At 52.2% G+C, this 17,660-nt stretch overlaps 1 protein-coding gene across 6 annotated transcripts in view, besides 1 other annotated feature; it reads right to left on the bottom strand.

The window, feature by feature from the left end:
* The window catches only part of CD82 (CD82 molecule), a 55,950-nt gene that overhangs the window by 33,067 nt on the left and 5,223 nt on the right, over positions 1 to 17,660 (bottom strand). The gene's annotated exons all lie outside the window — the stretch shown is intronic.
* Positions 9,851 to 9,900: an enhancer, noted in NCBI's record as "active region_4657". NCBI's record gives its function as "activates an Ori minimal core promoter by ATAC-STARR-seq in GM12878 lymphoblastoid cells {active_cell/tissue: GM12878}" and the evidence as "EXISTENCE:reporter gene assay evidence [ECO:0000049][PMID:35858748]".

Below are 17,660 nucleotides of genomic sequence, written 5' to 3'. Positions count from 1 at the left end.
ATCAGGCCCCAGGTCCTTATACCTACCTGAGGGCCTTTGCAAAAGGGTTTCTCTGCCAGAATTACTCTTTTCCCGTATTTTCCCACAAGCCTTGGCTCAGAAGGCTGACATCCCTCCTCCCAAAGGCCCTCCCTAAACACCCAATCTATTCAGAAGGCCTCAACTCCAGCTCCTCATTACAATCAACATAGGCCATGCCCAGGCCCCCTGCCCCAACCAAGTCATCAGGATCTCTAGGGGTAGGGCTGGGCTCCCCAGGAGACTCAAAGAAGCAGCCCGAGTTGACATCTGGGTTGTTACACGGCACCCTCACTGCAGTTAGCCTATTTGTTCACTAGTGTATCTGCATCCGCCACTAGAATATGGGCTCCTCAAGGGGAGGGGCTGCACCTGTGCCACTCACCCTGTTTCCCAGAGCCTAGAACAGTGCCTTGTGTATAAGAAGCTCTCAATGTATGTTTTTAGGAAGCAGGAGAGAAAAGGGAGGTCTAGAGAGATCAGGAAAGATTTCTTAGACCAGAATTGATCCTGCAGCTGGAGGTTTCTGATCCTTAGAATGATATCGCTGGATTGGGGTAGAGATGGGTTGCTTCCTCCTAAGACAGGATTTTTTAAAATGTATATATTTGTTGAGACAGGACCTCACTCTGCTCTGTCACCAAGGCTGGAGTGCAATGGTGTAAACACAGCTCACTGCAGCCTCAACCTCCTGGGCTTAAGTGATCCTCCTGCCTCAGCCTCCCATAGAGTTGGGACCACAGGTACACGCCACGATGCCTGGCTGATTATTTTGTAGAAATGGGGTCTCACTTTATTGCCCAGACTTGTCTCAAATGCCTGGGTTCAAGTAAGGATTTTAATCTCCTTTGGGTCAGAAAAGCTGACAGAAGCTGTGAACTCTCCCTAGAAAGATGCACACAGACGGGCAGGCACATACTTCCTTCCAGTTTCAGGAGGTCACAGGCCCTGGAAAGCCTACCTGAGGGCCAAGGTTTTTTCTGCCATCTCCTAAATGCCCTAGAGTGGTGGTCCCCAGCCTTGGCTGCACACAGGAATTACCCTAGGAGTTCTGAAAGTTGTTGATGCCCGGCCCCCACTGCCAGAGACCCTGATGAGTTGTTCTGGGGTGCAGCCTGGGCATCAGGGTTTCTTCAGTTCTCCAGGGGGTTCCAGTGTATTGAGACCCACTGCCATGGCTCCATCCCTCACACAGGCCAGCCCCTCTGCTCCTCAGTGGGGTGCAGGCAGGCCTGGGGTTTCTGGTACAGCAGCGCCTGGCCAGGGAGAATCTGCCTGGCACTCTGGCATCCGAAAAAGTGTCACATGAAGCTCCCTGCACCATCTTTCAACCTGGACTGCCTCAAGGCTCCCTCTACTCCAGTCTGTTACCCCAGAGCAATATCACTGTGCATGAGAAGAACTTTGAGATCACTGCGTTTTTCAGAGGAGGCAGAGAGAGCAAGAGATGGCAGGTGGCACAGGCAGCTTGGGCTAAGCATGAAGTGGAGAACTTAAGATTCCCAGTCTGGAGCTCCTTTCTCTACCTGTGGCCCTGTCCCTGCACACTGGGGCTCCCACATGGGAGGGATAAGAAGTACTGGACTCAGAATCACAGAGCCGGCCCTTGGCTCCCACCCCTGGCTCTGCCGGGTATCTGCCACATGACCTTGGGAAACACTGCAGAGCTGCTCCCTTATCCACAGATGGGGATGCCAACCCCGCCCACCTACCGCAGGCATGAAGATGAATCGCCATCAGGCTAGTGCATAGTAGGGCACAATCTATGCTGGTGCCTGGCCCTCTCCTCCCACTCTTCCTGCATAAAGATGCCACATCTGCCACACCTTGCCAGCAGTGTAGCCTTGGGTGATCACCTTACCACTGTGCCTCAGCTTTCCCACCTGTAAAATGAACTTAATAATGGGTTGTGGTCAGGCTTAAAGAGTTTGTATCTATAAAGTTCCTGGCACCCAGTAAATGTCAGATAAATGTTACCAACTATGATGATGATGATGATGATCTGGAAAAGTTGTTGCTTTCCTGACCAACAGTCTGAAGCCCTCTGAGGCCTGATCCAGTCTCTAGCCATGTGCCCATCCTGGAGAGGCTCCGTGCCAGAAGATGACCACTGCTGCTCCTGGGTAAGGGGCTGGGGGAGAAGTAGGACCAGGCTGGGCTGCCTAAGGAAGGAGGAGCCTCTGCCTCTAGCCTCCAGGCTGTGCCACTGGGAACTGCTTGAGACTCAGAGGTCCAGCCAGTTTGGTGAGTTGGGCATCCGATCCCGTGGGAGCTCGGTCTGCCCAGTCGGGCAGAAAGTGGAGTGAGAAAGCCTGGCCGGGCTATTGTGCCCTGGATGCCAGCCCATCTGCAGGCACTCCACCTGCAAGCTGGTTCTTGGCCACCAGCTCTCTGGTCCTCTGGACTTTGTCCTGATCACCCACGGGAAGAGGCTGGGCACAGACGGCTGTGTTTGTTTTCATGTTTGACAGGTGATGTGTTTCCTGAAATCCCTGCTGACACCAGGACCAGGGCCTGGCTTTTTGACCTCTCACTATCTTATTTTTCAATCTCTGGTCTTACTCTTATTGTTGATATTAACCCCCACCCACCAGAAAAAAAAAAATAGCTGCTACTCTGGGTGACAGGAGAAGAGTGAGCATAAGCAGGACGAGGGCCTCAGGTTTCCTTTAAGACCTAGGGTTTGGCCCAGGCACAGTGGCTCACACCTGTAATCCCAGCACTTTGGGAGGCCGAGGCGGGCAGATCACCTGAGGTCAGGAGTTAGAGACCAGCCTGGCCAATATGGTGAAACTCCATCTCTGCTAAAAATGCAAAAAATTAGCTGGGCATGGTGGCGGGTGCCTGTAATCTCAGCTACCCAGGAGGCTAAGGCAGGAGAACTGCTTGAACCCGGGAAGCAGAGGTTGCAGTGAGCTGAGATCCTGCCACTGCACTCCAGCCTAGGCAACAAGAACAAAACTCTGTCTCAAAACAAAAACAAAAACAGAATCCTAGGCTTCAGTCCCAGCTCTGCTTCCTCCTAGCTGTGTGAGCTTGAGCAAGTGAGTAACTAAACCCCTCTGAGCCCCAACATTCCCACCTCTAACAGCAAGATGCTGGTGGGATCCCCATCTCATGGGATTGTTGGAGGAGCAGAAAATGACATGGAAGGAGCTTTGGGGTCACTGTCAGCTCCTCACCACAAAGTGAGGAGATCCCGCCACTACCACCACCACCAAGGTGGGAAGAAACACATCCAAATCAGACCTTCCCAGGAATCACAGGATTTCAGAGCCCAAAGTGCCTCCCTGTTTGTCTTAGAGATTAAGGAAGAGTCCCCTGTCACAGGATCCCATGAACCAGTGAGACAGGCTCCCTCTCTCCTGAGAGAGCTGGGATTGACAGCTGACACTTGGGGAAAGGAGGCCAGGGGTCCAAGAGCAACACAGGCCAGCAGCCATCCCTGAATATTATGCCATTACCCACTGTATCCCATGCAATCTCCATAACACCCTGGATTATTATTAAACGAGAGATTATTGAGAGATTATTATCCCCATTTAACAGATAGAGGGACTGAGACTCAGAGGTTCAGTGACTTGCCTAAGGCCACACAAGTGGCTAAGCTATGATTAAAATTCAGATCTGATTTTAGAGAGCTGAAAGCTCTTTCATCTTCACCTGCTGCCCAAATGAACAAGGTAAATGCTGCAGCCCACCGTCCCACCCTTCCACACCTCTGCCGCCTGCTGCCTGATCCCCTGACCCTACCCCAGATCCCTGAGGCCTGACTCTCAGCTTCCTTTCAGGAAGGAAAAGAGCAGCTCCACCTAATCCTGACTGGGACATTCCTTCAGTTTGGCTGATGAGACTGACAGATGTGGCCCTTCTCAGGAGGTTTTGCTTTGAAACCCTAGCAATGAGACTGGAGGGCCTTTAGATAAAGAAAGGGGCTTCTCTGACAGGAGGGTGCAGAGTGGGAACCAGCAGATACCTGGAGCCCTCCAGCATTCCTGCCTGGACCCCATGCAGCCAAAGAATCAAGCTGAGGCTGAGCCATAGCCTCTGACCTCTTGCTTTCCACAGCTCCCTTGCTTGACTGTTTTTGGCTTCTTAGCCAGCTGCTTGGGCCCCAGACAGCCCCCACTCCCTCCCAATGCTAGGTGCCAAGACTCACACTCAGATTCACAGTGCCGGAATGGCCTTTGACATCACTAGCTCAGCCCACACTTCTCAGATGAAGACTGATGCCCAGAGAAGAAAATGAACCCCTACCCCCACCCCTTCTGGGGAATGCACAAGTTCATTGTGTATGTTGGGGGATAGGGAGGGGATTGGGTAGGGCAGTCAGTGTTTCCCAGCCTGTTTGGCATCATGATACACGTTGAGAAGTATACCTATTTGTTCAGCACACTGGGATGGACAGATAGAACTACATCTGGCTTGAGGTTACTAGCCTAGGGCTCTGTTCTCAAGGGCTCCAGAGATAACCATCTCAACAGCTCATTGATCGGAAAGCTCTAACCTAGAGGGATATTTAGGAGCTAAAGAGAGGTTGCAAGAAGCCCCAGATTCCAGAGGCCCTGAAAACAGGATTCCCAGGTGGGGTCTCAGGGGTCAGCCACCTTTTGAGGCCCTCTCCCAGTGCCACAACTGGAGATAGAATAATGAAGCAGATGATAGTACGGGCCCTGAGAGAGATCTAAATTCCAAATCTCATTTCTCAGTATCCACATGACCTCTGGCAAGCTGCCTACCTGCATTGAGCCTCAGTGTTCTCATCTGTAAAACAGACTATCTAGGACCCTCCAAGAGGAAACCAGAATCAGCGTGCCAAACCCAAGGCTGTAAGCATGACAGAGGCAGAGGATTCTGGGAATAGGTCCTGTTAGGTCCCAGAGCAAGGAAGTTGCAGAAAGATTGTCCCTTGAGGCATGGGATGGACACAGGGTTCCTGCAGACTGCCCCAGGGAGGTCACCACCACCCAAGAACTTGAAATGAGGTTGGGCAGAGGAAAGACCTAGGAGCAAAAGGAACATTCATGAGAGCATCCACAATGGGAGTGTTGCTTCACTGATCTTATCTCATTCAGCCCCAAACCCCAGGAAGGATCACTGGGATTCAGGAGGGTGGCGGCACTGGCCCTGGTCACACAGGGGGGACAGTGGTGCAGCTGAGCTCTGCCCTCAAGACTCTCTGACTTTGGAGTTCAATATCCTACTGACTTTGTGCCATTACTTCCCACCACCAAGGCAATCTCAAGGCAGAGAGGGTGGTCACTGCAGCCAGGTGTTAAAGGGGCAAAGCCTTGGTCCCAGGACTGTGAAATCAGAGCATCCGGGGGTGGGGCCAGGCACCTGCAGGTTTAGCAAACACACAGCATTTCAGAATTCTCTCCCTCCACCAGCCAGCCATGAAGAAGGTGGACACAGAGGGCCGAGATGGAACAGCAGCACATGGAACCAGGTCTAGCCCTCAGAGGGGACCTCATAGGGAACCGCACCCTCTCCTCTTAGAATACACAGCTCATGATCCAGAGGGCCTGAGGGGCTGCCCTCCCAGGGGCCTCCCAAGTGGCCCTTCTGCGCTCAGTTTCTGTCCTGAGCCACCATCCACTGCAGTTCACCGAATCCCCACTCCAGGTTGGCCCGGAGCTGGAGTGAAACAGGAAACAGATGACTCCAACCCATCCCTGCCCTCAGGGAGCACCCAGTCTGGAGAGGCTCAGACATGAACATGAGCAATTATACAAAGCAGCCTGCTGACTGCATCTCCCTCTGAAGGACAAAAGGGGCTCTCTAGAACACAGACTCAAGTGTTTAACAATGACAAACGCAAACATGTTTGCATGATTACTAGCTAGACATTGTGCCAAGTCCTTCACGTGGCTCAGTTTATCCCTGCAATGATCCTATGAGATAAGCCACTGCTCATCACCCCATTGTACAACTGCAGAAACTGAGACTCAGGGTGGTCAAGGGCCTTGCCCAAGGTCACCTTGCTGGTTGGGCAGAGAGTTGAACCCCAACATCTGACCCTCCCAGAGCCCCTGAGCTTTACTGTCACACCATGCTGCCTGCAGAAACAAAGTTGTAAATGACAGGTAATGAAAATTACCCCACCAAGGCCCAGCCTAGATTAATTGGGTTTTAGGGCCCAGCTTCCAAACCCAACCAACTGAAGACACTCTGGGGTGACATTAGGCACCAGTGACCAGCTTGCACACTGATCCCAGAGCCTAGCCAGCTGGAGTAGGTGGCTAACAAAAGGGTGTGGGCCCTGAGTAGGGTGATTAGAGAGAGGGAGGGGGACTCTAATCAGGGACCCCACATGGCAACAGGCAAACCTTTTGTCACATCATGCCTTCCCCTCCCCAGGCACTGAGCTCAGGAAGGTAGACACAGGGCTGCTGAAATGCCACATCCTCGAGGCAGCCTTTCCAAAACATTCTCCAGCACAGACTTTCAGGCAACACCATATGGCAGCCCTAATTATCTCATCACGAGAATTTAGGATAGACAATCAGACAGACATAGATTCAAACCCTGGTTCTGTTTACTGTTTCTTTTCTTTTTATTGAGACAGAGTCTCACTCTGTCACCCAGGCTGGAGTGCAGTGGCATGATCTTGGCTCACTGCAACCTCTGCCTCCGGGGTTCAAGAGACTCTCCTGCCTCAGCCTCCCATGTAGCCAGGATTACAGGCACACACCACCACGTCTGGCTAATTTTTGTATTTTTAATAGAGACGGGGTTTCACTACATAGACCAGCCTGATCTCAAGTGATCCACCCATCTCAGCCTCCCAAAGTGCTGGGATTACGGCGTGAGCCACCGCGCCTGGCCTGTCTACCCTTTCCTAACTGTCATTTAACTTTTCCGAGCCTCAGTTCCTTCATCTGTCCAATGGGCTAATCCTTCCTGCCTCCCAAGGCTATAGTTCTCAGTACTCTGCAGGCCTTTAGGAGTATTTGATGGGCAGAGAGAGGAGTAAGTGAGACAGAGTGAAGGCAAAGTGATGCACATAGGTACAGGGACTCTGTCTCCATAGATCCTTGGGTGAAAACACAGAGAGATGGGCCGGTGTGGAGGGTAGAAGCAGGTCTCTAACTACAAGAACTTGGGGGTGGGGAGTCTTCTTGGCTGAGAGCTAGCTGAAGGCAGCTCAGCCCAGGTGAGAAGGAGAGGGCAGGGCAGGGCTCTGTGGGGCCTCAGCCCTCTCTGAAGTTCTTCTCCCTCACCTGTCTCTTCCCTTCTGTGAGGGTCCCTATCTCTGTCTGTGGCTCCCTGGAGCCATCCCCTCTTCCTTGTCACTCCCTGTTTCTGTGATCATCCAAGTCTCTCCCTTTAACATCCTGAGAGCCTTGGAATACCCAGAGTGTCTGAGGCAACCTCACCCAGCCCACAGGCCCCAGTCTCCAGCGTACTGAGCCCTCTCCATGACGGGAGCCCAGCTCCTGCAAGGGGTGGCCCTGAGAGACCCACTTCCATGGTCTACTGCGGAGATCTGGGCCTGCCAAGCTGGGAATAAAGGGGCTGTGCTTCCCACAGAGGGCCCCTGGTTCCCAGGCAGGGAAGCGGCCATTTAACCAGCCCAGACACTTGGCAGCTCTGGCAGGAACACTGGTAACAAAAGGAAACCGGGCCTGTCAGGGCTCCCTCCCCAGGGCTCCCTGGGCCTCTCCTCTGAGATTGCTGAGGGGCTTGGGCAGAGCAAGGTACAGAGCGGGGAGTGAGAGAGGCCGGGACAGAGAGACTAAGACACAGATAGACTCAAGGGTGAAGGGAGCCTCTGGTCCCCTGGAGCACCAACCTGCAGACCCTGAGGCCCTGTCAGGTCTCACCAGGAAGTCTAGGGGAGCCTGCGGTGAGGCCGGCCTGGAAGTGCAGGCCCTGCTGACCCAGGAGGATCCCACACCCACCCCTGGAGCCAGGCCAGCTTCCCAGCTCCTGCTCTGGGGCCACCCCAGAGGTTGCCCTGCATGTCCTGCCTCCCCTGTGACCTCCGAAGGAATGGGCCCACCCTCTAGCCTCACCCACCCTGCCCCCTCTCTACCTCCCATTAACAATGACCCTTCCCCAGCACATTTTTCTCAGCCTTGGCCTCCCCCATATTCTAGGAGTGGCGGCACTGTGCCCTGGGAAAAAGCCTGTTACCCCACCAAATGTGATTCCTGAGCAGGCTGCTGGCCAGGTCTTTATGATGAGAAAGGGCACTGCAGTGCTCTGGTCCAGCCATTCTGAGCCCCCTAAGGAAGCTGAGGCAGACAGAAGGGACCTGACCTCAGCTGGCAGCGGCTAAGACAAAATGAACATCTGGGTCCCAAACAGCCCCATCCAATCCCCTCCACTAGAGCAACTCAGGGCCATGGGGAGGAAGAGAGAAGGGGAATGAGCCCAGCCAGCTCTAGGCTGTGATCAATCACTCCCCTTTCCCAAACCTCAGCTTACCTATCTGTGCAGTGGGGACAGTCCCTATGCCAGCTCCTAATGCAGGGTGGAAATCTGGGACCCCATCCCCCCTGGTCCAGTCCTGGACCTAGCCATCCGCCGGCCTCTCCTCTTCCCAGGGCCAACCAACTTTCCATTGCTGATGGATTTAGCCAAGAATTTGACATCCACTGAGAGCTGGGGCAGGCAGAGAGGATAGTGAGTCCAGCTGTGGGCCTTGGGCGAGTTCCCCTCTCTGAGTAGTAACGGTTCATTCCTGTCCTAGAGGGAGGTGTGTGGTTTGAGTAGCAAAACACACAATAAAGGGAAGTGTGGTGATCATTATTGCCGTGAGAAGGCCCTGGGCCACATGGAGCTGGAAGGGGGGTGTATAGATGTACAGACAGAGGTGAGAAGGAAAGGTGCTAGGCGCTATAGGAAGGGGTCTGTCCCCAGGGGCCAGGCATGGGACATGTGGCAACACCATCGTGGTCTCAGACAGAACCAGGCAGGGCCTCACACCTGGGCTGGCTCCCTGGCTCTCTTCCCACAGGAATATAGGAGCTCAGAGAGAGGCTGCCTCCTTCCCTGGGCGACCCAGCAAACCAGGCACTGCACTAAGAGATATGGGCCTGGAGAGCCTCTGGGTGTCCAGAGGAAAAGGGGACTATTTGTTCCCCAGTAGGAAAATTGATATGTAAATAAGCAGCCACTGGCCTGACCCAAGCCTCCTGGGAGGCCGCCCTCAGGTCGCCTGGGCCCCATCCCCTGGTCTCCTGTTTGCCGATCATGTGTGATCCTGAGAACACAGGAGACAGAGTATCTCTTTCTACAGATCTGGAAATTGAGGCTCAGGGGGGTTAGTAACGTGCCCAGGGAGGGTCACAAGTTGGAACTGGCAGAGTCTGATTAAATCAGCTGATTCTGTCCCTGTGCCCAGTCCTTGGCCCATTATCCGCCGAGGACACCCCCTACCTAGAGCTACCTATAGTTCAGGCCTTAGGCCAAGGCCCAACCCGGCGCCCTACTCAAGCGGGTTGGGGTAGGTGGAGGCAGAACATAGCCTGAGCCCACTGCAGGGAAGATGAGGGACTGGCATTTCCTGAGTACCATGAACCCCCAGGCACCAGTGCTAGATGTTTTGCACTTTATCTCCTAAAAGTATCAGAAGCTATCAACGAGGAAAGTAGCTTCCTTACTTTTCGACGAAGGAAACCAGGGTTCAGAGAAGATAAGTGACTTGCTGAAAGTCACAAGCCTGAGAGTTACAGGTCTGAGGCTAACCTTTCCCTAGCATGCATAGACTCAGCTGCATGCCCTGCCAGACCCTGCAGGGGCTTGGACCCACACCAGCCACAGGCCCTGCTCTCATGCCTCACTGGGGAGTTAACCAACCCGGTCAGCCAGTTCACCCACTGCACAGAACCCGAGAGAGTTGAGTCGGCTTGGCCAGAGGAGCAAGTCTTCCCTGAGGGAAGAAGGTGGCTGGAGCCAGGTGTAGAAGAATGAGGAAGACAGGAGGAAGTGATGGCATTCAGGTGAAACTGCAGGGCCCAGGCACCCATGTGTGAGAGTCTGGAAAATTCTGCATGATACATTTTAGAGGACAAGCACAGTTCCCAGGAGAAGCAAGCAGCCGAGCTGGGAGGAAAACCTGGGCTGAACCCCTCCTTCCCCACAGCACCAAGGACCTCACGTGCAAGGCCTGGGCAGGAGTCAGAAACAGAGACAGCCTGGACTACCCTATCTTGCCTCCCCATGGGTTCTTGGCCAACAGCGAAGATCCCAGGCCAGCCCTTCCTGGGATCCTGGGCCCCTTGTACCCAGGACCCACCAGCCCAGCTAAGAGCTCTGGGATCCTTCATCCTAAGGCTGAGAATAGAGAGAAAGAGTTCTCCCGTCTTAGGGGCTGGGCTCAAGATGGGCAGCAAAGACAACCCAGGTTCCAGTCTTAGCTCTTGTACCATCCCTCAACTGCCCACGGGATCCTGGGCAACTCCCTGCCCTGTCATCCTCATCCTCTGTGAAAATGGGCTTAGTAATAATGCCCGCCCTATTTCACAGGGTGCTGGAAGGCTTGAGGGACGGAGAATAAGTACATGAGAAAATGTCCACTGCCAAGAGCTGTAAAGCATAAGGGATCATTATGAGAAAGGAGGACTCAGATGTCCCAAACTGGGCAGTGACTTGCCCCCAGGCCACACAGCCAGGCAGCAGCAGAGCAGGATTTGAAAGGGGTCTCCCGGTGACCAGCCAGTGCCCTCCCACTGCAAGACCCTGAATCCCAAGAGAGCTTTGACCCTTGGGCTGACCGTCTCTGCGTGGATGGCGGGTGGGGCAGAGGCTGCTTACTCCACATCCCGGCTCCCTCCAGAACAGGACCTGCTGCCATCCCAGACCAGACCCCAGCCTTGAGTTTGAAATCAAAAGCCCAGCTCTGCCCCTTTCAGTTCTGTGAACTTGGGTAAGTTGTTTTACCTCCTGGACCCTCAGTTTCCTCATCTGTACAATGGGACCTGATGTTAACCCCTACCTGGGGTGGCTGACCTGACATTATGGCTGCAAAGTGTCCAGGACAGGGCCTGGTACACATTAGATGCTCAACAACTGAGGCTTTTCTCTTTTCCCTCTGTTGTGCCTGCCAGACGAAGCCCAGGCTTGACAGGAGAAAGTTCCTGGCTTCCTAGAAAACCTGCCCAGAACAATAACTGGGAACATAAACTGCTGGAGAACACTAGACCTTGGAAGAAGATCACGTTACTGAAGTGTCAGTCAGGGGATAAGAAGTGGAGCAAGATCCTAGCGCAGAGATGGTGTGGAGGAATCTGCCTCCCCAGGCCTCTCACTTGGGGCCGGTGCAGTGTTCAGGGAAGGCATCTCTGCTTCCGCACCAGACCTGCACTGGAGAAGTCAAGGTGGGGAACGTGACAGCGCCAGGGTTCCAGTACTAGCCCTCCTACTTTCAACATCCTTAGACACAGCATGTCACTTGTCAGAGACTCAATTTTCTTTTCCGTAAAACGGGGATGCTGATAATCCTCTTGTCCTCCTGCACAGAAAGTTCCCAATATATACAAAGGACACATGGGAGAAGGGGTGGTGAGGTGGGGGTAGGAGGGGAAGGTGAGTTCAGGCCTCACAAGATGAGCCTTTATTAAACAGGACAAGGTTCCTACTGTCAGCAACACCAGGAGCTGAAACTCACCACAGAACCCCACCCTGCCCCATCCCACTACTTTACTGGTACCCAAAGTGTGGTCCAGGGCCAGCAGATGCAGCGTCCCCTGGGAACGTGTTAGCAATGCACATTCTCAGGCAGTACCCCAGACCCACAGAATCAGAAACCTGGGGGTGGGGCCAAGCAATCTGTGCTTTCATAAGCCATCCAAGGGACTGATGCATGTCAGAGTTTGAGAACCACTGCAACACCCACCACCTACTCTGGAGAAACTTTCCCCCACTGACTCATCTTCCCACCTCCTCCTTTCCAGGAGACTGTTGGGGAGGAAGGAGTCACTGTGGGGAGAGGTCATTAAATAGTAAAGAGAGCCCATGATTAGTTAATGACACCACAGGCTCCCAGAGAGGAGAGGGTCAAAATCAGACTGTAATTGAAGAGAAAACACTCCCCTATATCTATCTGCCTTTCTCCATCTCCTTCTCTTTCACAGATACACATACCCTAAAAGCCTGCTCCTCCTCCTCCTGTGGGTAGGCCAACTAGCACCAGGGACAGACAGAACGCTCCCCCACCAGTAGGGCTGAAGCGAAACTGGGAGACTGGTTATGGTGGGAGATTCTGGTCCTCTGACCTTGAGTTTAAAAACCATCTGAGCTGGAAAGCCACTTCTAGAAATTCATTCCATGGAGCTCATTAGAGTTGAGTACAAAATATACATAGGGACAAGGCGATCATTATAGCAATGTGGATACTAATGAAAAATTCAAAGGGCCTAAATGTGCAATGGCTGGGGAATGCTTAACCAGGTCACAGAAGATTCCTATGGTGCAATACTACAGAGCTGGGAAACTTGCTGGAGAAGAATGCTCAATCACATGGGAAAACCCTCCCTATACAGCACTCAGTCAAAAGTGGCAGTGCAGGAAGTGGTTTGTGTGGTACAATCCCAATCTTGTATGTGTGTGTCTTTAAGGCCAAAACACCAAACTGCTCACGGCAGTTATCTCTGAGCAGTTATTTCCTCCTGCAGGTCTGTTCTTTACCGCCTGAATTTTTCCACACACACAAAAAAAACCCTCTTTCTTCAATAATCAGAAAGTTTGGGGGGTTTTTTGGGGTAGCCATTTGGTTTAGATAAAGTTTTTAAAAGAAAAATCTCCTTCCTATGTCAGAATCGCTGGCCTGGGGTCTTCTGCTACAAGATTTGGTCCCACCAGGGTGTTTCCACATTGTGTGTAATTCCAACAAGCAAGATCAGGATCAAAATGGGGAAGCCAAGGGTGGGTGGGTTTGCTCAGATTCTATCCCCTATTTTCTAAGAGTCAGTTCTTTCCAGAAATAAAAAATCATGAGCTTTCCAAGCCTTGAGGTGTGCGAGCAAAGGCTGGATGTGGTCCATGGGATCAGACTGGGCAGGTAGGTTGACTGGATGGACCACAGAGCTTCTCACAACACCAAGATCCTGTGACTCTAGACGTAAGCCCTCAACTTTGCCCTCAACTCTATGCCAAGAGCACCCAGCTCAAGGCTGGGTTCAGATAGTCTGGGGACCAAGACTACAGAGAATCTAAGTCTTCTGCTGACCCCCCAGCAGAGCTTCAAGCAACCCCGGAAAGCTCCCTCACTCCAGATCAGGGACCTCAGCCTTCGGACAGGAAGACTCCCTATCATTTCCCCAGAAGTAATGACAGGAGCAGCCTTTGCTCATCATCACCACCCTTAACCTCTGGCTTCATTGAGGGTGCACTCTTCCCTGGGCCTGCCACGAAGCATTTTACCAGCATTATCTCATTTAATCCTCATAAAAACCAAGACTCTGAGAGGCCAAGAAACTTGCCCAGAGGTGAACAGACACTGTGCCCATAGCTAGGCCTGGCTGACATCAATGCCTGAGAAGCTAGAACCCCAAGCTGTAGGCACAGCCCCAGTGTTTCCCTGACTGCAACTTGCAGGGATGGTTAGGGATTCCTGATAGGCACACATTTTGAGAACCACAGTGCCATGCCATACCGTCTCCTGGCAAACAAGGAGACTTGCTCAACCATGCCAGGAGAGGGTGTGGGGCAGAGAAAGCAGATAAGAGGGGCTTTCGGATGGAAAATAAGTGACTAGTTCAGAGTAGAGGACACATCCTCCCTGCCTCAGTTACTCCACTGCTGTGTGTTCAGAAAGGCCAGGGGTCAGGGAGGTGGGCTATCTACATGTCCAAAGGTGACTCAAGGCCTAGACACCCACTTGCTCCATGACCTCAGATAAATCAAACCTCCCCTGCCAAGTTTCTATTTCCTCTATATACGATGATGTCTCATAGGTCCCACTGCAAAAGCATTCTTATATTCCACCTTTTAAGACAGTGAGTGGGAGGTGGTTTTCCAACTGTACTAGTATAATTTACCAATTGTTATTATCAGCAACAACAAACATTTATTGAGTGCTTACGTCATACCAGGTATCATTCAAAACGGTTTATGTGTACACGTGGGAACACATACTCCCCTCTCCGTTTGTTTCCCAGTGGAGGGACCTCTGCCAGGGAAACACCTCAGGCCTCGCTCTGCGCTCCCCTACCAAATCCCCGCTTCACGCCACGCCCTGGGAGGCTTATGATTGGTTCGTCTTAGAGACACATAGGGCAGACTCAGTGGGGCCCCGCCCCTCGCAGAGCCAAATTGCCCGCAGGGAGAGTTCTGTCTGGGCTGTTCTCTGCTCCTGCTACCTGGTCCTGCAGGAGGCTGCCTCCTGTCCAGCACGTCCTGTGGCGGGACGGGTAACTCTGCCAGGTCCAGGACAGGCCAGTCAGCAAGCCCTCTGGACCCCAGATGTAAAGCCACCTTCTTCCACCGGCTTCCATTTAGAGCTCCATATTCAATATGTGTTTAGCTCATTTAACCCTCACAGCAGCCCATCCCTATTTCACAGATGAGGAAACTGAGGCTCAGAATGGTCATTAAGGAACTTGATCTCAACTACTGTTCAAAAGCTTTCTACACACCACCCAACGCTCAGGGTGTGCCCACCGCATGGGAAGGCGGATTACACTCCTATTCATATCTAACTCTTGTCTCCCAGCCTGGGCGGCTGCGGACAATGGACGCTCCTACCATAGGCACTCCCTCCAAGTCTTCTGAGGCTTGTCAAATTGATATTCACTTCAAACCAACATCCCATCCCTCCTTCGAAAAAAATATGATTTATTCACAAAAAGAACTTCAATATGATCCCAAGTTCATATAATACATTTTTGTTCAAATATGTGTGGTATGTTTTTTATAGCTTCATTGTATGAATGGGTTTTTTCTTGAGCATAAAAAAATATGGGCTCACTGTAGATTTGGAAAATAGGGGAAAGTAAAAAGATAATAAAGGTCTGTAATCTAATCTATATAATTGTATTTCGTAACGGGTACGTTACATGTAGTTGCCTGTATTTTGGCCTGATAGAGTAGAGTTGTAGGGGAGCAGCTCTGCCATTCAGTCTCTGCAATGCTTTAGGGCAGCAGCTGGGACCTGCCCACACTACAGCCTTCCTTCCTTCCTAGGCTGCAGGAGAATAAGCCAGGCCCCCAGGAGTCCTTCCCCTGAATAAAACCCTGCAGCCGTCCACTGTGGCATCACATGTGCCTCACTTACAAAAGCCAAGTGCAGCAAATGCAAGATAATATAGTTTTGTAGCCCAAGAAGGGCTATAACTTACCCAAGATAACACAGCAAGTAAAAGATGAGCTGGGAACGGAGCCCAGGTCCCCTGATCTCCAGACTCAAGCTCTTCAAAGACTTACATCCTGCTTCCTATTAACAGCACTACCAAAAACACCGAGCACAGTAGATCATGCCTGTAATCCCTTTGGGAGGCCAAGGCTGGAGGATCACTTGAGGCCAGGAGTTTGAGAGCAGCCTGATCAATATGGTGAAATCCTATCTCTACTAAAAATACAAAAATTAGCCTGGTGTGGTGGTGCATGCCTGAAATTCCAGCTACTCAGGAGGCTGAGACACGAGAATCACTTGAACCCGGGAGGTGGAGGTTGCAGTGAGCCAAGATTGCACCACTGCACTCCAGCCTCAGCAATACAGTGAGACTCTGTCTCAAAAAAAAATAAAAATAAAAATAAAACACTACCAAAAGCAGCAGGAACATATATAGCACTAACTATGTGCCAGGCGCTGTCTTAAATGCTTCATATGCATTAGCTCATATATCATTCTCAAACAACCCTATGAGATGAGTACTATTATTGTCTCCATTTTATAGATGCTGAAACTGATGCACAGAGCGGTAAGACACAAAGTCACGCCTAGCTGGTAAGTAGCAGAGGCGGGAATCATCCTTAGGCAATTTGATTCCAGAGTCTGTGATCTTGCCCAGGCTTTCTTCCCCACTCCCCCAGGCCCAAGCCCAGCTGGGACTCAGGAAGGCTTCTGGAACACTTGCTGCCTAAAAGGAAGAAAACCTGCCTAGAAGTCACCTCTCTGGCCAAGGTCATGCTGTAGCTCCATGGCAGAGCCAGGATTTGAACCCGGGCTTCCTAATGCCCAACTACCAGGGCATTGTTCACTTCTCCACATTGACACTGAGAGCCAAGGCCCAGAACTCTGAACAACTCCCACACCAGATCACCCTTCCACACAGCAGGGAAAGTCAAGTTGCGGGGTGGGGCGGCGGAGAAGAGGCAAAAGCTTCTGCTGCAGGGTAGGAGGTCAGAGGGGAGAGTGGGGCTTCCCAGAGCTGCCCACCTGGGGGTCTGCATGGATGATGTCCAGGATGGGCTTCCTGGAGGCCACCGTCCCATTTCTCCAGGCCCCAGCTTGAGTCCCCACAGGATAGCAGCACCTTCCACAAACAATTGTTGACTCCAAGATGCTCTTTCTGGCTGAGTCAGAGTTCACTAAAGGCCAGAGTGGCCCCTTCCTGGGTTAGGACTGAAGGAAGTCATGCTGTTCCCCTCTCAGGAGGGTAATAAAGGCCAGGCATCGGAAGAGAAGCAGAAGCTCTGCTGAAAGCAATTCCAGGACAGACGGTGCATTCCCATCTCCCTGGATCCAGGTTGCAGAAGTGCGGCCCACAGGCCTGAAGCACCAGGCAGTGGCATCCAGGTCCTGCTTCCCGGCTCCACTTTGCCAAGGAGTCACCTGGTATGTGGTACCAAGCTAGGTACTGCTGATACCCCCGGCCTCACCCAAGAGAACCACTAACCTATTCATTCAGTCATCGATCCCCAAGTGCCTGCTGTATGCCAGGAATCAGAGATACAGACAGGACAGGGCAGTGCCTGCCCAGGAGAGCTCATGGAAACACATCATACACCACAAAGTGGCAGGATCAAAGAGGAGGGTACACAGTGTAGACAAGCACAGAGGAGAAGGTGAAGGGCAATGAGGGGCTTGGGAAAGGCAGCCAAGCACAGAGGAGAAGGTGAAGGGCAATGAGGGGCTTGGGAAAGGCAGCCAGAGATGTTCAGACCTACTGCCCCTCAGGAAGCTGAGCGTCACAGTGAGGAGACCCAGCCACCCCCAGGAAGAGCCAGAGAGCCCCACATAGCCAGACATGACTGGCGTCTTGGGGCACACACATATTGGAGAGGCACAGAGGCCCTGTGCAGAAGGAAGGTGTTCTGGGAGTGTCCCTGGGGGCCTGAGAAGGAGCCTGGCACCAGCCTTGAAAGACCAACCAGATACAGCAAACAACAATGGCTCTCCTTTATTGAGCATTTACTATGTGCTAGGTATAACAATACTAAGCATTTCATGTGCACTTTTTTGTCTTCTCCTCATGACCTATGAAGTCATGACCATTATTATCCCCATTTGCAGGTTCAAAAACTGAGGCTCAGAAAGAGTCACGTAGCCAGAAATTGGCAGGGCCGAGATCTCAACTCTAAAGTCCAGTGCTTTACCGCCATGCTGTACCATCATCTCCCTAATCTGTTAACAGGCAGAAAGAAGATAAAGGTGCTTCAGGTGGGGGAAACAAGGTAAAAATAGGGAGGTAGGATCAAGTGCTCTTTGAGGGGAGCTGCCCAGCTCCTCTGTGTTGGGGTTGTATTTGTGT

The sequence above is a fragment of the Homo sapiens genome, chromosome 11 (genome assembly GCF_000001405.40).
Source record: "Homo sapiens chromosome 11, GRCh38.p14 Primary Assembly".
NCBI lineage: Eukaryota > Metazoa > Chordata > Mammalia > Primates > Hominidae > Homo > Homo sapiens.
This window is presented reverse-complemented; position numbering and strand designations above follow the sequence as displayed.